The following is a 24,591-nucleotide window of genomic DNA, read 5'->3' on the forward strand; positions in this document are numbered from 1 at the left end:
TTTTCTAGGCCTGTTTTCATTCCAGGAAGCCATGGTACCTTTCTGAAAGACAACCAAAACAGTGAAACATGTGTGCTGCCTTCTTTAACTTTGAGCTAAAGAAGCCTCATAGATAAGGAATTGGACTTTTATGAGTAATTCTCTCTTCAGCTACCTCTCAATTGGTTCAGATCCCTTTTGAATGAGAAATATATGTTAACGCATTTTTTGAGTGAATAATGTTTTGTCGTGGAATGTCCATCTACTTTAATAGGACCAACTGTTGTCAACAGAATTACTTTCTACATCTGTGGAAAACAACATCTAGGCTAACAAAAATCAAGGTAGCAAGTCTAACGAAATCGAGGCTAAATAATTTGAGTTCTTTATGTAAACATATTTATGGGAAAATTTTGTTGTAGATTCTTCTGTTAAAAAGAATCTAATAAATTTTTATAATTGCTCTTGAACCGGGAAGTGCACCTCTGATTATGATCCATGCATTGGAGTCAGCTGCACATCAGGAAGTTGCTTATCTGGAGGTTTCATTGCCTGTTACTTGGAGATACGACCAGTGTGGCACCTCCTCTGTTGGTCTTCATTGCCCTGTATTACCTTCAAGCATTTTATATGACTTCATGGATTATCTTCTTAATTATTCCTATGGCACATGTTACACCTAACCCTCTATTTTAGTGACAGCTCTTGCTCTGTCTAACCTTGTGGCAGTATAATTGTTTTTCATATAATTACTTTATTCACAGATAATAGAATTTAATGTGATATAATTAAATCCTTTGACAATTATAACAGTTTTTAAAGTGAAAATATTTTATTTAAATCTTGGGTCTGCAGTTTATTTTCTAGATATCTATGTATTAATCCAACAACGTTATTCCATTGAAACTAAAAGAGGTGTGCAGAGTGTGCCACTTTTACCATGTAATGGTTTTTTTCACAATTTCTTAATATCTGGTAATCTCTGGTTCATGCTTTTGCAAAGAAACACATTGCCTAAAATACATATTTTTAAATTATTAACTTCAGTGATTTAAGCACCGGGTAAATTCTATGCCTTTAGACACCTATGAACTAGATTCTTACTGTCTCTCTGTAAAATACATATAGAGTATTTTTGATTTTCAGCAGTTCTATAACTGCTTGATGAGTAGATGTTATTCCCATAACATCTGTCTCATCTTGTCTTTGGTGATTCTAATGACACCATACCAGCTGGGCGCAGTGGATCACAACTATAATCCTAGCACTTTGGGAGGCCGAAGCGGTGGATCACTTGAGGTCAGGTGTTTGAGACCAGCCTGGCTAACATGGCAAAACCCCGTCCCTAATAAAAATACAAAAATTAGCTGGGCATGGTTTCACATGGCTGTAATCCCAGCTACTCAGGAGGCTGAGGCACAAGAATTGCTTGAACCCGGGAGGCAGAGGTTGCAGTGAGCTGAGATTGCACCAGTGCACTCTAGCCTGGGTGACCGAGCAAGGCTCTGTCTCAAAAAGACAAAACAAAACGAAACAAAACAAAAACCATCCTACCTAAAATTTGTGGGGGTTAAATAATTGTAAGATGTTCCATTGTTGGCTGAGGAGATCATTTTGGAAATGGACACATTATAGGATTTTAACCTAAGACACAGGCTACCCAGAACAAATGGGATTTGGGGCAGTTGCTCACTTTTTCCCATATCCAGCTGATGAACAACAATGTCGATGAATCATTGATAGTATTTCTAGCCAAAGCACTGCATCAATTTATTCATTTTCCTGTATGTTCATTTTGGCTAGATAGCTAAGAATTTCTTTCTATTCTTTGTACCTTATAACCTGTGCCCTTCTTTTGATAAAGATGTAGGACCTCTAAAGAGAAAGCAGAAAGACAGCTGTCAATGTCTTGTTGGAACTTTGTTTTCCAGATTGCTGACTATTCTTGTTCCAAAACTTGAAGGCTATACCTAATAGATAACCTTTCCTTGCTTCTGAGTCATCAAATCAAAGAGCCTAGAAAGATCTGGTTCACCCCTGAGTTTGTTTGTCCTGATTTGTGGTTTTACTATGGAGATGGATGTTTACTAACAAAGAACTCAGATAATTGAGATCGAAAGACAAACTTATGCGTGACTCATATGCAGAGCAGACATCTTTATCAAACTCTATTAAAGAAAACATTTTATAAAGTTATGAGGTGTGGTGGAAGCAGTGTTTGTGTACATGCCTGAGGAAGTGTGGTGGAAGCAGTGTTTGTGTACATGCCTGAGGAAGATGGTAGTGTGAGAAGGACAATGTGACAGATAAGAAAAATGACTTCTTATCCTGAGCAGCCTTGGATCATAAGGTATTAGTGTTACATCAAGCATTTCAGTAAATAGGGACAAAGTTGCAGACTTGGGGTTTTTTGTTGTTCTTGACTCAAGAGAAATACTACTTTTGTTGTACAATTGAAGTAATAAAAATAATTAATTTAGGAGATACCTTTTGAGCACCTAATTTTCTCCACTATCAAATACTGTTTACTGAAGAAAATTACACACTTAAAATCCCAAACTAGTTTGATTTGATTGATTTTATAATGATCATTTATGCCTACTTTATGTATTTGGCATTTGGTATATCACCTTAAAAAAACAAATAATACTCATTAATAGAGAAGTGTGATTAGATAGGTGACAAGGAGGTTATTTGAGCAGTTTTTGTTTTGTCTTGCAGTCAAATCTGTGCTGGAAGGACCTTCTTATAGAGGCATTCTTTTATCATATAGAGATTTTGTTCATGGACTGGGGGAAGAGTATTCTTTTTTTTTTTTTCTTCGAGACGGAGTTTCACTCTTTTTTTTTTTTTTTTTTTTTTTTTTTTTTTTTTTTTTGAGACGGAGTCTCGCTGTGTCACCCAGGCTGGAGTGCAATGGCACGATCTCAGCTCACTGCAACCTCCGCCTCCTGGGTTCAAGCCATTCTCCTGCCTCAGCCTCCCAAGTAGCTGGAATTAACAGGCACGCGCCACCACGCCCGGCTAATTTTTTGTATTTTTAGTAGAGTCGGGGTTTCACCATGTTGGCTAGGCTAGTCTCGAACTTCTGACCTCAGGTGATCCACCCACCTCGGCCTCCCAAAGTGCTGGGATTACAGGCATGAACCACCGCGCCCAACCTGGGGGAAGAGTATTCTAAGATTATATTTCACTGTATTGACAGTTGCCATTTCAATCTGAGGCCTACTTAGGTACTATTTCTTAAAGGCTGTCAGAGGCATAGAGATGCTGATGGTAAAAATAAAGAGATTAGTGAGAGACATTGTTCAGTCTACAATGATGTGGCCACATAGCTCCATGGTCTTAGAGCTAGAACTGAGTGGAAAAAGCCATGACTTCATAATCATGGTCTTGAACTTTTGCTGAAACCTTCAAGTCATTCTCCTACCATGCCATTCACTTCTACATCAGTAAAAGAAGATTAAGAGTCCCTATGCAAAACTTTTTTTACCACCTTTTGTGGAAGGGGTGTGTTCAAATTATTTCCTTAAGTAACTCCTGAATATAAAGTTCTTCAGAAATATTAAGATATTTTTTGAATAAATGATGTGATTTTCAATTAATAGAGTTTCAGATATTCTTGATGATTATAAAGTGACAAAAACTCCAGGGCATATACCTTGGGTACTGAAAGCTTGTGTGGGATCAGTAAGAAGATTAAGGATAAGAGTGAAATTAAAAGAAGGCTCAGCCCTGACCTGTGAACAATCCCTCAGAGGGGAAAAAATATTCAAACTCAAATATTAAGATTGGCTTTTATATTAGAAATGAGTAAGTGTATACATTAAATTAATTCTAATCTTTCGACTATCTGCTGTCTATATAAAATCAAAAGTAAGTTTTAGAGATTAAGAACATAGGGAAAAGACCTTATTTGCCCATAAGGAAAATGCTCAGCTGTATCTCTCCTCTTCTGATTTAAACATTCCTCTTATTCTTCTTTCTTTCTTTCTTTCTTTTTTTTGAGATGGAGTCTCACTGTGTTGCCCAGGCTGGAGTGCAGTGGCGTGATCTTGGCTCACTGCAACCTCTGCCTCTCGGGTTCAAGCGATTCTCCTGCCTCAGCCTCCCGAGTAGCTGGGATTACAGGCATGTGCCACCATGCCCAGCTAACTTTTGTATTTTAGTAGAGATGGGGTGTCACCATGTTGGTCAGGCTGGTCTCAGACTCCTGACCTCGCGATCCACATGCCTCGGCCTCCCAAAGTGCTGGGATTACAGGCGTGAGCCACCGTGCCTGGCCCTTTCTTCTTTCTAGTATTTATAGGATGTTAGAAGACCAAAGTCAAGTTAACAATGAGGAAAATTTTAGTTCAGCACAATTAAGAAAAAATGATAGCCCCATTTGAAGATGAAGAAACAGTAAACAAAAGTAGAAGAAGCTATTGGGAAAGTGTCTTCTGATGACACATTGCTTCTTTGAATAAATCTTTGTGTCAACTAAAACCTTGCCTATGCTTTCTATATTGCAAGCATCAGGTCCTTGACATGGCTTTAAATCTTTCCTAAGCATTTTGAGAGGGAATTGATGCAATACTTCTCACTGTTGATATAGTAGGGTTCCACATATTTACATGGGACTTTTTGACCAAAGACCCAACTTTTCACTTTTGTACATTTACTGTGCCTCTCATACAGGGCTGGACTGTTTATGTAGTCTGTTGCATCACACTATGGTGGCAGGGGGACAGAGTTGGGGGCACTATTAGAATTTGTTTAAGTCTGAACCGGGAATTCCATTTGTCTTAGTGACATGAGTGTCAAAACTGTTAGTGCAACACTATTTTAAACTGTCTGCAAGAGCCTGAGAGGCTTATGCTTATAGGTGCCATCTATAAACTTAGAAACAAACAAAGAGCCCCTCTCCATTGAATAGTAAGCCCAGTGGGCAATTAAAGAACAGCTTGGGACCCCACTTGGTCAACTAGTCAGAACCAGAGCTTCTGATATTCCCTCTGGATATTGTTGAGAACTGTCACAGAAAGGCTAAAGTAAATAATCAAAATGAAAATAGTTGTTCCAGAGAAAAGTCTTGTTCTGGAAGCTTGGTGTTAAGGAAAGAATAATGACCACTAATTTGTGGATCTTTGTTAGTTCTAGTCTCAGCGGAGTCCCTTTCAGCTTGAAACATGGATGAACCTGTGTTTTCAAGCACCTCTGAAGATGTTTTTAAAATTAGGGTATAATTTGGGTATAGCAAAAATGCATGTTTTAATCATACAGCTTGATGAATTTTTATACTCAGCCACCACTCACATAAAAACATAGAATATTTCCGTCAACCCAGAAAGTTTCTTATGCCCCTTCCAGTTAATACTACCAGTGACCTAGAGGTAACCATTTTTATCATCACAGATTACCTTTACCTGTATTAAACTTCATATGATTGGAATCATCTTGTGTCTGTGCTTTTGTATCTAACCTCTTTTGCTCAACTTAATTTGTTTGAGATTCATCCAGGTATTACATGAATCACTAGTTCATTTTTAATATTGCAGTGTAGTGTTCCATTCTTCAAATATACCACACTTTATATATCCAATATTCTGTCATTTCCAGCTTTTGGCTATTAGGAATAAAGCTGCTATAAACATTTTTTTATAAGTCTGTCTGTCTGTCTCTCTCTCTCTCTCTGTCTCTCGTCAACATATGCATACATTTCCTTTGGGCATATCCCTAGTACTGGAATTGCCGGATCACAAAGTAGGCATATGTTTAACTTTATTAGGAACTGCCAACACGTTTTCCAAAATGACTGTACCATTTTGCATTCCTATCAGCAATGCATGAGCGTTCCAGTTGCTCCACATTCTCATCAACACTTGATATTATTGATCTTTATTTTAACCATTCCAGTGGATGTGAACTATGGTTTGAATTTGCTTTTCTCTGTTGAGTAATGGTATTGAGCATCTTTAATATACTCATTGGCCATTTGGATATCATCTTTTGTAATGTCCTAGTTAACTCACTGATTTTTATTAGATATGTTGTCTTTATTGAATACCAAGTGTTCTTTAAATATTCTGGATATGGTCCTTTTGTGAGATATGTGCATTGCAAATATTTTCTTTCAGTTAATTGCGTTTTCACTTTCTTAATGGTATCTTTTGACAAGCAAAAATCTAATTTTTTCATTGTTTTTTCCTTTTATGTTTTCACAAACAAAAAAAATCTTTTGTCCAGTCTTTTTTTTTTTTTTTTTTTTTTTTGAGACAGAGTCTCAGTCTGTCACTGAGGCTGGAGTGCAGTGGCATGATCTCGGCTCACTGCAACTTCCGTCTCCCAGGTTCAAAGTGATTATCCTGCCTCAGCCTCCCAAGTAGCTGGGACTACAGGTGCCCACTACCACGCCCAGCTAATTTTTTGTATTTTTAGTAGAGATGAGGTTTCATCATGTTGGCCAGGCTGGTCTCGAGCTCCTGACCTCAGGTGATCTGCCTGCCTCGGCCTCCCAAAGTGCTGGGATTACAAGTATAAGCCACCATGCCCAGCCCCTCCAGTCTTGAAGAGATAACTCTTTTCTAGAAATTGTATAGTTTAAGCCTTCACATTTAGGACTATGATCCTTTTCAAATTAATTTTTTATTGTGGGTGGTCAAGTGTGGTGGCTTATGCCTATAATCCCACCTTGGGAGGCCCAAGTGGGCAGATTGCATGAGCTTAGGAGTTTGAGACCAGCCTGGGCAACACAGCAAAACTCTGTCTGTACAAAAAGTACAAAAATTAGCCAGGCATGGTGGTGCACAACTGTTGTCCCAGCTACTTAGGAGGCTGAGATGGGAGGATCACTTAAGCCTGGGAGGTTGAGGCTGCAGTGAGCTGTGATCACGCCACTGCACTCTAGCCTAGGTGGCAGAGCAAGACCTTGTTTAACAAACAAAAAAAAATTTTATTTTGATGTAGGGCAGGGATCAAGGTGTTTAGTTTCTTCCGGTTGCTCCCACATTGTTTATCAAAAAGATACGCCTTTCCTATTATGAATTGCACTGATGCCTTTTTAAAATTTTTATTTTTTCTTGGGTTCTTTATTCTGTTACATTGATTTATATAGCTGTCTTTTTACCCACATTGTACTACCTTAATTACTGTAGATGTTTAGTAAGTTTTGAAGTCTCATATTTTAAGGCCTCCACCTTTGTTTTTCATTCTGGTTATCTTGGCTATTCTGGGGCCTTTGCATTTCCACACATGTGCATTTGTACGAACATACCAGTGGTTTTTCAAACTCTGGGAATTCCCAAGACACTTTCAAGTGGTCTATTAAGTCAAAATTATTTTTATACTAGTATCAAGTTATTATTTGCCTTTGTTTTTTCTACTGTGGTGAAATTTAGTATAGATGGTGCAGAAGCAATTGTGGGTAAAACTGGTGGCCTGTTATCATAGTAAAGGCAATGGCACCTAACTATTGCTAGTAGCCTCTGCTACCTACTTAAGAGTTCTTTTTTAAGCTGTATTCACCTAAGAATATCTTTAAAGCAGTAAAAATCATCAACTTTAATTTTATTAAGTTTTGATCCTTGTGTAACATCTTAATATTCTGTATATCAAGTGGGAATGAATGCACAGTAGTTGTCTTGAGGGAAAGCCATTGTGATTTGTAAACTGAACTAGCAACTGTTTTCATGGAATCCCATTTTATCTGAATAAAACAAACTATGTTTATTCAGACATGGGCATTTGGCAGAAATTTTCTCAAAAATAAGCAAACCCTGTCACTTCGAAGAAAACAACTAACAATATTTATTACCAATAATAACATTCTAGCTTTCAATTGAAAATTAGAAATTTGAAAACCTTGTATCCACCACTGTCTGTTTAACAGAGTCCCAATATTTAAAGACATTTCTCGGCCGGACACGATGGCACACGCGTATAATCCCAGTACTTTGGGAGGCCAAGGCGGGTGGATCACCTGAGGTTAGTTCAAGACCAGCCTGACCAACATGGTGAAACCCTGTCTCTACTAAATACAAAAAATTAGCTGGGTGTGGTGGTGCATGCTTGTAAGCCCAGCTACTTGGGAGGCTAAGGCAGGAGAATCGCTTGAACCCGGGAGGCAGAGGTTGCAGTGAGCCAAGATCGTGCCATTGCACTCCAGCCTGGGCAACAAGAGTGAAACTCTGTCTTAAAAAAAAAATTTCTCATTAAATAAGTAGTGATATTAACTAATATGATTTTTTGCATAATAGATATTAAAATATATCAGCATTTGGAACATCTGCAACATTTTCCGAATGACCAGTTTCATGTTGCTACAAAATCATGCAAGAGTAAAGGACTCATTCCAAATGCAAGATAGGACAAAGGATTTTAATGTAATAGAATATGAAAGTTAATTGATATAGTTTCAGATTCCACATTGCAACTAATTTGTTAAGGATCATATCAAGGAAGAATATCCCCAGAACCTGAAAATGCTATTAATATACTTTATCTTTTAGCAGTTACGTATTTGAGTTAGACCAACTTTTCTTCGTGTACGTCAACCAAAACAGCATATCAGAACAGATAGAATGCAATAGCAGATATGAGAATCTAGCTGTTGTCTATTAGAGGATTTTCTCTTAAAAATGTTACTTTTCTCACTTCTTTCTGTTTAGAAAATATTTTTATATAGAATGTAATTGATATTTCTACATAGAGGCTTTATCATTGTTTTTAAATTAGCTGATACATAATTGTATTAAATGTTGATAGATATAGTACATATAAACCAAAGATCTTTGGGGTCCTGGGTTTTTTGTTGTTGTTGTCGTTTGTTTGTTTTTTTGAGACAACCTCACTTTGTCATCCAGGTTGGAGTGTGGTGGTGCAATCTCGGTTCATTGCAACCTCTGCCTCCAGGTTCAAGTGCTTCTCCTGCCTCAGCCTCCCGAGTAGCTGGGACTCCAGGCATGCACCACCATGCCCGGCTAATTTTTGTATTTTTAGTAGAGACAAGGTTTCACCATGTTGGCCAGGCTGGTCTTGAACTTCTGAGCTCAAGTGATCTGCCCACCTTGGCTTCCCAAAGTGCTGGGATTACAGGTATTAGCCACCGCACCTGACTGGGGTCCTGAGTTTTTTTAAGCACACTGGGATCCTGAATTTTAAAATGTTTGAAAACCACTGGTATGCATATTCTCGTACACACACACACACACACACACACACACATTAAATTACTAGTTTGTTTGTTTATTTCTACAGAAATTCAGATGAGATTGGATTGGGATTTCATTGAATCTGTATATCAAATTTGGAAGTATTGACATCTTAAAAATACTAAATCTTTCAAAACAAGCTTTTTTAATTTTTTGAGATGGAGTCTTACTCTGTTGTCCAGGCTGGAGTGCAGTGGTGTGATATCGGTTCACTGCAACCTCCACCTCCAGGGTTCAAGCGATTCTTGTGCCTCAGCCTCTGAGTAGCTGAGATTACAGGCAAAACATAAACTTTTATAACTATTCACTTATTTAAGCCTTCTTTAATTTCTCCTTGATAAGTTTCAATGTAGAAGTCTTACACATCTTATATAAAAGTTTTTTCTTTCTATTATTACATTTTGATGATAACTATAGCACGTTTTTATTTCACTTGTCAGTTTTCTTTACAGCATATAGAGTAAAATACTTTTCTGTATAATAAACTTGTATCCCAGCCTGGGCAATATAGTCAGACCTCGTCTCTACAAAAAAAAAAATTTTTAAATTAGCTGAGTATGGTGGTATGCACCTGTAGTCTTAGCTACCTGGGAGGCTGAGGTGGGAGGATTGCTTGAGCCCAGGAGGTTGAGGCTACAGTGAGCCAAGGCTGCATCACTGCACTCTAGCCTGGGTGACAGAGGGGAAACCCTGTCTCAAAACAAAAAATGAACTTGTTTCCAGCAACTTTTCCAAATTCGTTTATTCATTCTAATAGTAGAATCTCTTGGATTTTCTACTATGTAATCATGTCATCTGCAAATAAAGATGGTTTTATTTCTTTTTAATCTTTATCTTTCTCCCATATTACACTTGTTTAAACCTCCACTACGATGTTGAATAGAAATGATGATATTGAATATTCTTGTTTTCTTCTCAACCCTAGGAGGAAGGGTTTATTATTTCACTATGAAGTATAATGACAATAAGCAAAAATTTATCAAAACTGAAGCAGAGAGAGAAAAATACTGAAATAAAATAGAACTCACTGTGAGCGGTATATCAAACTATAGCAGTATCAAACTGTCTAACATCTGTGTAATTATTTCACATATGTGGAAGAAAAGAAGAGGATATGGCAAAAGAAATGCATGAAGGGTTGAGAATTTTCCAAAGTTAATGAAAGACATAAGTCAAAGTTTTAAGAAACTCAGTGTATGCTGAGTGAGATATTAATAAACACAAAGAAAACCATACGTAGACATATTATAATCAAACTGTTCAGATCTAAACATAAGGAAGGAATTTTAAGAAGCCTACTCTGTTTCTTTATTTGTTTTTTTCTTTTTTCTTTTTTGAGACTGAGTCTCGCTCTGTCACCCAGGCTGGAGTGCAGTGGCGCAATCTCGGCTCACTGCAAGCTCCACCTCCCGGGTTCATGCCATTCTCTTGCCTCAGCCTCCCGAGTAGCTGGGACTACAGGCGCCCGCCACCACGCCTGGCTAATTTTTTGTATTTTTAATAGAGACGGGATTTCACCATGTTAGCCAGGATGGTCTCGATCTCCTGACCTTGTGATCCGCCTGCCTCGGCCTCCCAAAGTGCTGGGATTAGCCACTGTGACCAGCCTCTTTATTTCTTAGGTTTATATTTAAGTGATGGTTTGGACTTTTGATAAAAAGAGAAATTGGAAAAGTAGCAGGGTGATTTTTAAGTTTCCTTGGCAGTGTGAGATCCCCATGTCTGAATAATCAAGAGGCTCTATGAGGAATCTTCAGGATATTTTTCAATAGACAGAAGTAAAAGAGATGGGAAACCAGTATTAATTTATAAACAGTTAGGTGCCCAACACTGTGCTAGGTCTTGCCACATGTCTCATCTCATTTAATCTTCTTTAATTAGGATCAAGGTCCATTTTAGCAATAGTCAAAGAACAGGACTTAGGACACCTAGCTCCTGATACTTAAAATTACTTAAAGTGCATTATGGTGACACCTCAGATAAGTCTAAACCTCTTTCTACCCTGCCTAATCAAATATTCATTTCAAAACACTGTATGCTGAAATGAGCCACGTGGGAGTTGAAGAGAATCAACTATTCAGGTGGTGAAAATGTGTGAATGCAGCTGGCAGATGAAGTTCCAGTGTGATGAATTCCCAGCTTGTCCTTATTGCTTTAGGCAACAACTGACAGGCCTGACTGGTCATTGGCTTTCCATTCCTGGCATTGATATGACTGAAAATTCTTAATGTCACAGATCCTTAAAAGCTGTCTCTGTTATCATGGATATAAATGGTGCTGGAGGGTCCTTCTTGCATAGAGAGGTAATCAATATGGTCTAGAGTTCTTGACCTGAACCTGTAATTACTTGGACATTTTGAAGGTAGCTTGTTGTTACAGAATATTCATATATTCAGAACATTGGGACTGAGTTGTGCATGGAGAGGAGAAAAATAGAGTCTTTGTCCCCCTTTCTGTTCTTAGTATTTAAGAGGCCTTCATAATCACAGAAGAGAGTGATATTATAGGATTAGAACATTGTATTTTTGGTTTTGGGTGCTGAAGTTCTAATCTTACCTCTGAAGTGATCCTGATATTTTGCCAAAGTTGTGACTTTAATATTCTGTGGCTTGTAATTGTGATTTTTCTAATACCAGAGTAGAATTCTGGGGAGGAATTTTTCTAAACCCAAATACCTCAATTTGAAGTGAGGCTTGGCTTTAAATAATAACACATTTGAGTTTGAGCTTTTCCTGCAATTAAGTGGTATGCTGCAAAAAGGAATTCGGTTAGCAGATTTTATGGCATCCATGATCCATGGACAAGAGTGAGTAGAAGGAGATGATACTGATAGCAATTCTTAAGTCTCTAAATGTTTTTACGTTGTTGTGATCAGGATTTCTTTGCCAAATGAAAACGGTAAAAGTGGAAGCATGAAACACCTTAACAGTAGGTGTGGATCCTGATTGTTCTGTTACTGCTTGGCTTAAGATACCCCTGGATGGGCTGGGTGTGGTGGCTCACACCTGTAATACCAGCACTTTGGGAGGCCGAGGCAGGTGATCACCAGGTCAGGAGATCGAGATCATCCTGGCTAACACGGTGAAACCCCATCTCTACTAAAAATACGAAAAATTAGCCGGGCATGGTGGCGCACACCTGTAGTCCCAGCTACTCAGGAGGCTGAGGCAGGAGAATGTCATGAACCTGGGAGGCGGAGCTCACAGTGAGCTGAGATCGCACCATTGCACTCCAGCCTGGGTGACAGAGTGAGACTCTGTCTCAAAAAAAATAAAAGATACTCCTGGATGGCATTATTATTGGATTACCTTATATGTAGCATGCTTAGAACAGAGGGGGAAAAATGATGGCTTATAATAAAGGACTGTTTGAGAACAAGGGCTGTCTTTGTATCTCCCTTTGCCTGGTATTGGTACCTTCCACAGAGCAGATAATCAATATTTCTTGATATCTGATTAATAATGATAGTCAGTGATGATTAATAATGATAGTCAGTGATAATCAACAATGATAACCATTGTTGATTTCTTATAAAACATAAGGCTTTAAATATCATAACATGATTACAAGTTGGTAATGCTGAGTCTTTATCTTCGTTACCTGACTTAAACCTGGTCCTCAGTTAGGTTTGCCCTTATGTTATGATCACTATTCCTTTGTATGGGCCTATGGTCAATTGTGTAATCAAGTGAAATATTTTACAAAGCATTTCAAATTATCTTTTATGTTATGCTTTTAAAGCAGCATTATGTTTAAACAGAATATTTCTTTGATACAAGCTTTCGTTCTATTAGGCTTAGCATGGAAATTTTTGTTTTAAGGTTATCTTTATAAAGCATTAACTCTAGCGAAGTCTTGCTTTCTGGAATCTATGGTCAGGACTGGTAAACATCTGTTGAAAAGAATGGACAGGCTTTTGCTTTCTGCTCTTACTAGGCTAACTTTCAGACATAATTTTAGGGATATTTTGGGCTGCCTTTGAAGCTAGCCCATTTTGGGCATAGGACATTGGCATATGGAGAACTGACCCTAAGTTCCATTAAGCCAAAACATTTTGTTGAAGAATTTCCAAAATTTTAGTGGTGTCATTACAGTTTAGTTACTTGTACTTATGCTCTAGACAGCTACAAGAAACATGGTAGAATTGACTTCTGTTGTATGAAGTGGCGTCTTGAGTCTTAAACCTATTTTACTTTGGTGTTCTACAATATTTGGAAAGGCAACAGTTATTATATAAATGTTCAATGTTAAGACTGTAGAGAACACTAAGTTACACTTGACACTTAGTTGAACTCCCCAGTCAGTTATCCCTTCTTTAGATGAGTTTATGTAGTTCTCAAATGAATGCTTGTAAGACTGGGAACAGAACCCATTTACTCTTCTGTTTCTCTCTACCTAAAGAGGAAATAGCGAACCCTATGATCTTCTATTTGGGCTACCTTTTCCTTTTCCTATGTTAGAAATTCATAGCCATGAGTCAGTACCTCAAATTAGAGTTTTTATAGCCATGAGAGGGACCCAGTTCCTGAATCAGACGGCTTAAGCCAGAGAGAACTTACTATGGTGCCTGACACTTTTCATTTCTCTTGAAACATGTTCTTAATCTTTCTCTTTATTCCAACTCACCCCCTTGATTAAATTAATTACTTTCTCATGTGTTCTTAAACTTTTACTGTTATGTGTACCATCTGATATTAAAATTAGTTGGGTATTGTTTTTCATTCTAGACTATGAGCTCATCTTTGTACTCCCCGTAGCTCCCTGAATGGTTTTGACACATAATAGGCACTCAGCAAATGTTAATGAATTCAATATTTCATCATGGAACATTGAAACCAAGTTCTTGCATTTGCCTGGAACAGTAATTACCTCCTCAAAGAGAAACTGTGTGGCTAGGGAGCAGAAGTGACAAGGAGACCATCTTTCCACTAGAGTCCTTTACAACACGGCCCTGCATTATCCATGCAAACATAAATTAAACTCTGTTTTTAACAACATACTTTTTAGATTTTTTGTTTTCAACAGTTGAAGATGCTGAGGTTAAGAGATTTAAATAACTTGTCTACTGTCACAGAGCTAGTAGATGGTAGAGCAAAGGTGTGAATCTGTGAAACCTTCATTTTTTCCCGGACCTTGAACAGCATCTCAGCCAACCTTGATTTCATTCATATAATCATCAGGGCATGTATGTGACCTAAGAACTATTTATATTTATTCTTTTTATCATATACTGTTGTATCATAGAGGACACAAAATACATCACCTCCACTCTGGAATGGCACCTCTATTTTAAAAGACCATTGGCAAAACCTCTCCGATGAGATTTTGATGATGGAAGAATGTTATATTCAAGACTCACCTAACTATACCTGCATCTCACAGATACTTATCCTTTAAGCAGTAAACAGTTATTTTCAGCTAGGAAAGCCACTCTCAATCAGGTAGTGGTTTCTTAAGCTGAAAAAGGCTTTCCACTTAAGAATCGTGATAGGCCAAGGTCATTACCTTTCCGTCTACTTATGGGAAAATTCAAACTAAAGGAATACCAGTGTTTGAAACTCACAATTCACTCTATAGTGGGGAGTGGGGGAGTGCAAGGCAAGCAAAGTGATTATATTTCCCTTAGAAATATTGTTAACTATTTTTTCAAAATATGGATTAAAGCTTAAAACATACCCAAAATACACTGATTCTAAATGGACCTGACACCTTGATCTTCAATCATGGAATAACATATGAGTGAGGATTCCCAATGGACCATTGTACACTACAATATTTATTACTATAAAGATCTAAGAGCTCTTAGCCACTTTCAAACTTTTAAGAGTTGTTCAGCTCTCATCCTCTTGACTTGTGTTTTCACATTTTAAAATTCTGGTTTGTTTTGTGTGATGTATTCAGAATTACCTCCCTACCTTGATTTCAGAATAATATTTGGCTTTTTAATAAATTTAAGGAAGTGCAGATATGAAAGTATACCCATTAATGCATGGGGACTGCAGTACCTTTAACTGGCCCATTTTTGGCCTCTGTTTATCCATCTGCAAAACGGTGACTAGGTTTTGCCTTCTAGTTAGTTGATATGATAAAAATACTAATAAATTGAAAGGCTGTGGGATGATACCTTTATCAGTTCCTTCTATGGATGGTGTAATTTTCACTGTAGTTTACTTTAGCATATATGGTCTCAAGAATAAAAATAAGGAATTACTAAGGAACCTCCTGAATGCAATACTATTAACATTCACAAAAATAGCTATATGCAAATTAGTAGATGTCCTTAGCTGAGACAAAATTATTTTGAGGTTGTGATCATGAAAATTAACGTAAGCTGATATAATTTTGAATTGTATGCATCTGTTTTCATGAAAGAAACCTATTTGGAGAGGTTTATTCTTGAAAAATTATGGAATTAAAAGTTAAATAGGATTCTTAACATCTGTTTTTAAATCTTGAATTATATGCAGCTCATAGAGTTTCTCTCCTGTATGCATATTAAATGATATATAATGAACTATCAGTGGTTTTAGGTAACATTTGGTTACTGAATACACTATGCTAAGCATTTCACGTGCATTATCACCTGTATTCACAAAATATTATGAGGTAAAAGCACTGTTACAATTTCCATTTTTTTCAGAAGAAGGTGTGATTTAGAGAAATTAAGTACTGTATACTACCTCCCAACTTTGGCAGTGTCATCTGAATTTTTTTGTCATGAACATGTTTTACATAGCTTGTTGTTAAAGTCCATTTTTGATAAATTTTTTGAATAGACGTGTGTAATGCAAGTGCATGAGCTTTGTGGTTAGGTGTAGATTTCATTCCCATTTCTGTAGCTGACTGGGTACATGACCTTGAGTTTCTTTGTCCATAAGAAGAGTATAGGAACATCTGTCTCTGATGTTGTAAAAATTAATAGATAATAAAAATCTTCTGGCCATAGTTCAGGTACATAACAAGGACTCATTAAATGTCAGTTGTCACCACCTTACCTTCTTTCCGTAAAATATTTCCTTTCTGTCTGTCCCAAAGTTTTAGTTTTGCTCTTCACGTGTATCATAATGTATTATGAGCATCCTAAGAAGATAGGTTATACTATTGTCCCCATTTTACAGTTGAGAAAACAGACTGAAATGTTGTAGATTCCTGGTTGAATCCCTATAGCAGTCTGATTCCAGAGCCTGTGTTTTTAGCTATAATGTGCTTTGGTATGAAGATATATTCCAATAACAGATTATATTCTGATATTTCAGACAAGAATCTAAATCCCAGAAATTATTCTCTTGTACCCGCATCCCTACCATTCAGTTCTTCCCTTCTTAGATTATGCTGGTATAACAGTGTATCTCCTTATTACTCTTGTAATAAATTTGTATATTAAATGCTCAAACACCCTTCTGATTCTAAAATCTGTGATCCTCTGTCATTTGGATACATTTGCAGTAGTCTGAGGCAGCTCTGAGAATCGTTTAAGGGAAAAGTATTCATCACTGTGGCTTTAGTAAGGAATATGTTGACATTTTTACTCTAACTCCAGGAACTCCTACTGACCTGAAATTAACCAGTTCATGGAGGTTTTTGGTGGGGACTAAGGAATGAAATTAACTCCCTAAGTCTCCTCTTCTTAAAAAAGAACCTCAAAATACTGCTGCCCAAATGGATTTAACTTTAGTTATATTTGTTTTTACATGCAAATACATTTTACTCAGCCTAAAAAGGCAAAGAAATGAAGCTATTTGGTTTGCAGAGGAACAGATCACTCTCCTGAGCATGTCAGACTGTTTATGTGTGTTTTTCACTCCATCTTACTCTGTCTTTGTCTTTCATGTTCTTTTTTCTGTCTCTGTTTCAGTTTGTCCTGTTTCTATTGCTCCCTCACAGCAACTATCTTCCTATTTTGATAATCCTGTTTCATCTCTATAAGGAAAAGGCTCTCTCAAGGATGCAGAAAATGTTACTATTTTTATAACAGTCCCTAAATACACAAAAGATTTTAACTTGGCTATAAAACTTTGTTCTTGGCATAAATTTGGCAGATAGTCTTTCGCCTGGGTGAGACTTTTCATTGGGATCCTGGAAGTGTTGGGATGTCACTATTCTCCACTCTTGCTTCTCCAAGTATGACATTAGTGGTTTTAGCTCTTGTTGACCCATCTTTAAACCAAAGCTTTATAGCCTATTAGAAGCACAGTGTGGATTTTTCTTATGATACGTTGGAATAAAAGAAAAAACTTTTCTAAAGTTACAAATGGTTTCATTTACCAAAATGACTATTTCACTTGGAAAGTTTTGTCTTTTCTGTAAAAATTCCAGGAGTTGGGTGGGCTTGATGTCCTCTCTCCCATTCCACCTCCCCACCCACAGACTCATGTCAGCAAAGATGCTGAGAGTTTTATTCCAGTCTTTTAGGAGGCGAGACCTTGACCAAGGAGTAGCTAAGACATATTTTTCTGCTTTTATTTTTTAAAAACTTTTTAAAAAAAGTTTTTCATATAACTTTTTCATCTTGTATAACTGAATAAAGAAAATTTTTTATTGAAATTAAAGTAAGGAAATACCACAGGATGGCTTTAAAGTGTTTGTTTCACTGTGGCACATAGGGCAAATGCCTTGGAACATCAGTAATTACTATTTGAGGCAACCTTTGGGGATTGAGATATATGCCTTTCAGATCTGCACTTCATCTCATACTTCATCATTTATTGGATCAAATAGCAGTCTCATTTACTTAGGATCCGTGTCAGCGCCTTGAGCTCCAAATCGGGTATTACATGTCACCCTGTGAAAGATCCTCTGCGTTACCCCATCAATTCTGCTTCATTAAAGGACTTTAGATGATCATCTTAAAGCTTTAAAGAAATGAAAAATATTTGCCCTCTCCATAAAAAAAATGCTTACAACTTTATCTTACATTTTACTCAGCAGAGTAACTTTGCCCAGCCCTGGAGCAGAACATTCTTAAAAGTAAGCCCAGTAAACCTAAGCGTTGGATGGTTCTGCAAGTAACCACTGCAAAAAAGATTTCCTGGTAGAAGTAAGTAGTGTCTTTTGCTAGTGTACCAGGTTGTTTAATAAAACTAGGAATAGCTGAGAGTAGGAAAACTCATGAGGCTTTTTCTCATCACAAGCTGTGTAATACATACTTCAGGTAACCTCCGTGGGTTTCCTCACTGCTGTTGGCTCAGCTGTGGCTTTTTATGGAACCATAGCTGCATTTCCATCTCTTTCATCCCTCCCTTTTTATGAGAATAAAAAGTGAATTGGGTGCTATTTAAATATTCTCTACTTACATTTATTGAAAACTACCCTGCCGCAGGGCACAGCACATTGGAAAACTGCCTTGCACCAGCCCAGTTTTCCACTCAGGTGGTTTACCCCAAAACCTGGCCTTTGCTTTCCTCAGACCTTTAATTTCTTTAAACTAAATGATCACAGAAAAACCTAGGAGGAGCTAGTTCCATTTGTGAGGTTTTCAATAAAACTTAAGTGGAATGTGGCTAGAAAAGCAGACCCATGAAAGGCCATGACTACTATGCTGACACTAGAGGAAAAACCCACAGAATTTTTTTTATTTTTTTGAGACAGAGTTTCGCTCTTGTTGCCCAGGCTGCAGTGCAATGGCGCGACCTTGGCTCAAAGCAAGCTCTGTCTCCTAGATTCAAGTGATTCTCCTGCCTCAGCCCCATGAGTAGCTGGGGTTACAGGCATGTGCCACCACGCCCAGCTAATTTTGTATTTTTTTTAGTATAGATGGGGTTTCTCCATGTTGGTCAGGCTGGTCTCGAACTCCCCACCTCAGGTGATCCACCTGCCTCGGCCTCCCAAAGTGCTGGGATTACAGGTGTGAGCCACTGTGCCCGGCCTAAACCCACAGAATTCTTATACCTCTTGCTTTAAGTGTTGGGAGAAAATGGAAAAAAAAAAGTTAGAGCTTTAGTACTGGTACACTTTGGGACAGAAAGGCAGCTAGGGATGTTTGGTTAAATTCATTTGTCACATATTGGTGTTTTATTTAAAATATTGTCCAGAAATAAACAATTCATACATGTTCAATTTTGTGCCTTTCTGAGTAGCCTGGTGAAATCTTACAGCATCCCTCCCAGACCGTGAATCATCCCTTTGTCTGGCATCTCCAGGCTGTCTATGCTACCTATCCTTTGGTCACTTGGCAGCCGTCTTGGTTGCAGTATTACAGTGCTTGTATTCAGGTAACCTTTATTTTACTTAATGGCCCCAAAGCACAAGGGTTGATGCTGGCATATTGTTATAATTGTTCTATTTTATTACCAGTTATTGTTGTTAATCTTTGTGCCTAACTTATAAATTAAACTGTATCATAGGTCTGTACATATAGGAAAAAACATGGTATATACAGTCATGTATGGCATAGTGACCTTTCAGTCAACAGTGGACCTTATATGCTCGTGCAACAGTGTTCCAGTAAAATTATAATACCAGATTTTTACTGTACCTTTTCTATGTTTAGATACACAAATACTGACCATTGTGTTACAGTTGCCTACAGTATTCGGTACAGTAACATACTGCACAGATTTTTTGTCTGGGAGTAATAAAAGAGGTTATAGCATATAGCTTAGGTGTGTTGTAGGCTATTCTATCTAGGTTTGTACAAGCATACTCTATGATGTTTGCACAGTGATGAAATCACCTAATAACACACTTTCTCAGAACACATCTTTGTTGTTAAGCAATGCGTGGGTGTATAGTGTTGGTACTGTCCATGGTTTCAGGCATCCACTGGGGGTCTTGGAACGTATCCCCATAGATAAGGAGCGGGGGACAGTTGTAGAATAAATTATATTTTGAAACTTGCTTCATTTATTGTTAGCAGATTTCCTTCAAGTCATTAAATATTTTTGAAGACATAGATATTTTAATGGTGGCTGGATCATTTATTTGTCTGATTTTCTATCATTAAACTTTGAGATCGTTTAGAATTTTTTACCATACTAATTTAGAATAAATAAATTCCTATATATAAATCTTTGTTGTTATCTGTGATTATTTGTTTAGGATAAATTCCCAGAAGTGGAAATTCTGGGTCCAGAATACGTATATTTTTAAGTCACTTTATGTTTACATATTGCCAGGTTGCCCTAAGTAAAGTTCTATCAATTTGTGCTTCATTCATTCATTCAGCTAAGGTTGATGTTCCTCATTTCCTTCCTTTAGTCTTGCTTTGCTAACACTAGGCTTACTTTTTTTTTTTTTTTTTTTTTTGAGACGGAGTCTCGCTCTGTCGCCCAGGCTGGAGTGAAGTGGTGTGATCTCGGCTCACTACAACCTCTGCCTCCCGGGTTCAAGTGATTCTTCTGCCTCAGCCTCCTGAGTAGCTGGGATTACAGGTGTGCACCACCACACCCGGCTAATTTTTGTATTTTTAGTAGAGATGGGGTTTCACCATCTTGGCCAGGCTGGTCTTGAACTCCTGACCTCATGATCCACCTGCCTCGGCCTCCCAAAGTGCTGGGATTACAGGCGTGAGCCACTGTGCCTGGCCACTTTTGTGTCATTTTATCATGTGCACAGATTCATGTAACCACCACCATCATCAAGATACAAACCGTTCCGTCACCACAAATATCTTGCTCATTTCTTCCTGCTCCATTATAGCCCCACTCAGTTCCCATCCCACCACCATCTCTGACCCCTGCCAGCTACTAATCTATTCATCTCTATAATTTTGTCATTTTGAGATTTTTAAGAAATTGAATTTTACGATATGTGACCCTTTGATATTGCCTGTTTTTAAAATGGATTATAATGCCTTTGAGGTCCATCCAAGTTATTGCATGTATCAATAGTCTATTCCCTTTAATTGCTGAGTAGTATTGCATGGTATGGATGTCGCACAGTTTAGTTAACTATTCACCTATTATACAACATTTTGGCTGTTTCCAGGTTATGGCTATTTCAAGTAAAACTGCCTTGAACAATCATGTAAAGGTTTTCATGTAGATAAAAGAAGTTTCATTCCACTGAGCTAAAGGCCCACAAGCACAGTTGCTGGGTCACATTGTAAGGATATGTTTAATTTTTCAAGAAACTTCCAAACTATTTTCCATACTGTCTGTATTATTTTATAATCCTACCATCAATATATGAGAAATCTACCTGTTGAGAAAGAATTATTGAAGTCTCCAGCTATAACTGTAGGTATGTCTATTTCTTCCTTCAGTTCCGTCAGGGTTTGCTTCATATGTTTTGTAGCTCTGTTTTTAGTGCATGCGCATCTCGGGTTGCTGTGTTTTCTTTGTGTAACTTTTTATCATTATATAATGTCTTTCTCTTATCTGGTAATTTTCTTTTCTCTAAAGTCTACTTTATCTTGTATTAAGGTAGCCACCCCCACTTTCCTTCCTGTAACTTTTACGTGATATATCTTTTTCTAACATTTTAGTTTCAGTGTGTCTGTATCATTATATTTGATATGTTTTAAATGAATTTCCTGTAAAAAACATATAGTTGAGTCATGTGTTTTAGTCCATTCTTCCAATATCTGTCTTTTAATTAGTGTTTGTAGACCATTTACATTGAATATAATTATTTATCTGTCAGGGCTTAAGTCTGCCATTTTATTTTTTATTTTCTATTTGATCTCTGCTTTTTCTTTCTCTGTTTTTTTGTTTGTTTAGGCTCGATTTGGTTTTTCTTTTTTGCCTGCCTTCCTGTAGGTTATGGAACATTTTCTAAAATTCTATCTTGATTTGTCTATAGTGGTTTTTTTTTTTTTTAATTTCAATAGGCTTTTGGGGAACAGGTGGTGTTTGGTTACATGAATAAGTTCTTTGGTGGTGATTTCTGAGATTTTTGGTGCACCCATCACCCGAGCAGTGTACACTGTATCCAATGTGTCATATTTTATCCTTTGCCACCCCTCACTCTTTCCCCTGAGTCCTGATAGTCAAATGTATCATTCTTATGCCTTGGCGTCCTCTTAGCTTAGCTCCCACTTATGAGTGAGAACATATGATGTTTGGTTTTCCATTCCTGAGTTACTTCACTTAGAATAATACTCTCCAGCTGGGCACGGCGGCTCATGCCTGTAATCCCGGCACTTTAGGTGGCTGAGGTGGGCGGATCACGAGGTCAAGAGATCAAGACCATCCTGGCCAACATGGTGAAACCCTGTCTCTACTAAAAATACAAAAATGAGCTGGGCGTGGTAGTACATGCCTGTAATCCCAGCTACTCAGGAGGCTGAGGCATGAGAATCACTTGAAACCAGGAGGCGGAGGTTGCAGTGAGCTGAGATCACACCACTGCACTCCAGCCTCATGACAGGGTGAGACTTTGTCTCAAAAAAAAAAAAAAAAAAAGAATAATAGTCCCCAGTTCCATCCAGGTTGCTGCAAATGCCATTATTTCATTCCTTGTTACGGCCGAGTAGTATTCCATTTGTGTGTGTGTGTGTGTGTGTGTGTGTGTGTGTATACACGCCACATTTTCTTTATCTACTCGCTGATTAATGGGAATTTGGTTTGGTTCCATGTTTTTGCAATCGCAAATTGTGGTGCTATAAACGTGTGTGCAAGTATCTTTTTTACATAATGACTTCTTTTCCTCTTGGTAGATTCCTAGTAGTGGGATTGCTGGAACAAATGGTAGATGTACTTTTAGTTCTTTAAGGAATTGCCACACTGTTTTCCATACTGGTTGTACAAGCTTACATTCCCACCAACAGTGTAAAAGTTCCCTTTTCACTGCATCCATGCCAACATCTATTATTTTTTAATTTTTTGATTATGGCCATTCTTGCAGGAGTGAGGTGGTATTGCACTGTGGTTTTGATTTGCGTTTCCATAGTGATGTTGAGCATTTTTCCATATGCTTGTTGGCCATTTGTATATCTTCTTTTGAGAATTGTCTTTTCACATCCTTAACCCACTTTTTGATGTGATTGTTTGGGTTTGTTTTGCTGATTTGTTGGAGTTCTTTGTAGATTCTGGAAATTAGTCCTTTGTCAGATGTATAGATTGTGAAGATTTTCTCCCACTCTGTGGGTTGTATGTTAACTTGGCTAATTATTTCTTTTGCTGTGCAGAAGCTTTTTAGTTTAATTAATTCCCATCTATTTATCTTTGTTTTTGTTGCATTTGCTCTTGGGTTCTTGGTCATGAAGTATTTGCCTAAGCCAATGTCTAGAAGGGTTTCTTCTGATGTTATCTTCTAGAATCTTTATGGTTTCAGGTCTTAGATTTAAGTCTTTAATCCATCTTGAGTTGATTTTTGTATTAAATATAAGGTGAGAGAAGAGCATGCAGTTTCATTCTTCTACATGTGGCTTGCCAATTATCCTAGCACCATTTGTTGAAGAGTTTTTATGTATAGTTTTAAAAATTATGGGGGGAGGAGCCAAGATGGCCGAATAGGAACAGCTCCAGTATACAGCTCCCAGCGTGAGCGACGCAGAAGATGGGTGATTTCTGCATTTCCATCTGAGGTACCGGGTTCATCTCACTAGGGAGTGCCAGACAGTGGGCGCAGGTCAGTGGGTGCGCGCACCGTGCGCAAGCCGAAGCAGGGCGAGGCATTGCCTCACTTGGGAAGCGCAAGGGGTCAGGGAGTTCCCTTTCCGAGTCAAAGAAAGGGGTGACGGACGCACCTGGATAATTGGGTCACTCCCACCTGAATATTGCGCTTTTCGGACCGGCTTAAAAAACGGCGCACCACGAGATTATATCCCGCACCTGGCTGGGAGGGTCCTACGCCCACGGAGTCTCGCTGATTGCTAGCACAGCAGTCTGAGATCAAACTGCAAGGCGGCAGCGAGGCTGGGGGAGGGGCGCCCGCCATTGCCCAGGCTTGCTTAGGTAAACAAAGCAGCCGGGAAGCTCCAACTGGGTGGAGCCCACCACAGCTCAAGGAGGCCTGCCTGCCTCTGTAGGCTCCACCTCTGGGGGCAGGGCACAGACAAACAAAAAGACAGCAGTAACCTCTGCAGACTTAAATGTCCCTGTCTGACAGCTTTGTAGAGAGCAGTGGTTCTCCCAGCACGCAGCTGGAGATCTGAAAACGGGCAGACTGCCTCCTCAAGTGGGTCCCTGACCCCTCAGCAGCCTAACTGGGAGGCACCCCCCAGCAGGGGCACACTGACACCTCACACAGCAGGGTATTCCAACAGACCTGCAGCTGAGGGTCCTGTCTGTTAGAAGGAAAACTAACAAACAGAAAGGACATCCACACCGAAAACCCATCTGTACATCACCATCATCAAAGACCAAAAGTAGATAAAACCACAAAGATGGGGAAAAAACAGAACAGAAAAACTGGAAACTCTAAAACGCAGAGCGTCTCTCCTCCTCCAAAGGAACGCAGTTCCTCACCAGCAACGGAACAAAGGTGGATGGAGAATGACTTTGACAAGCTGAGAGAAGAAGGCTTCAGACGATCGAAT

General features: G+C 38.3%; 1 protein-coding gene and 2 long non-coding RNA genes across 12 annotated transcripts in view; 2 read left to right on the plus strand and 1 right to left on the minus strand.

Moving 5' to 3' along the window:
• The window catches only part of BCAS3 (BCAS3 microtubule associated cell migration factor), a 714,981-nt gene that overhangs the window by 408,840 nt on the left and 281,550 nt on the right, over positions 1 to 24,591 (plus strand). The window lies entirely within an intron of this gene.
• The window catches only part of BCAS3-AS1 (BCAS3 antisense RNA 1), a 101,500-nt gene that overhangs the window by 52,178 nt on the left and 24,731 nt on the right, over positions 1 to 24,591 (minus strand). The window lies entirely within an intron of this gene.
• Positions 3,066 to 20,177, plus strand: LOC124904041 (uncharacterized). The gene is made up of 2 exons (XR_007065871.1): positions 3,066 to 18,207; positions 19,247 to 20,177. It is a non-coding gene; the product is annotated as an uncharacterized LOC124904041 (long non-coding RNA).

The sequence above is a fragment of the Homo sapiens genome, chromosome 17, assembly GCF_000001405.40.
Source record: "Homo sapiens chromosome 17, GRCh38.p14 Primary Assembly".
Lineage (NCBI taxonomy): Eukaryota > Metazoa > Chordata > Mammalia > Primates > Hominidae > Homo > Homo sapiens.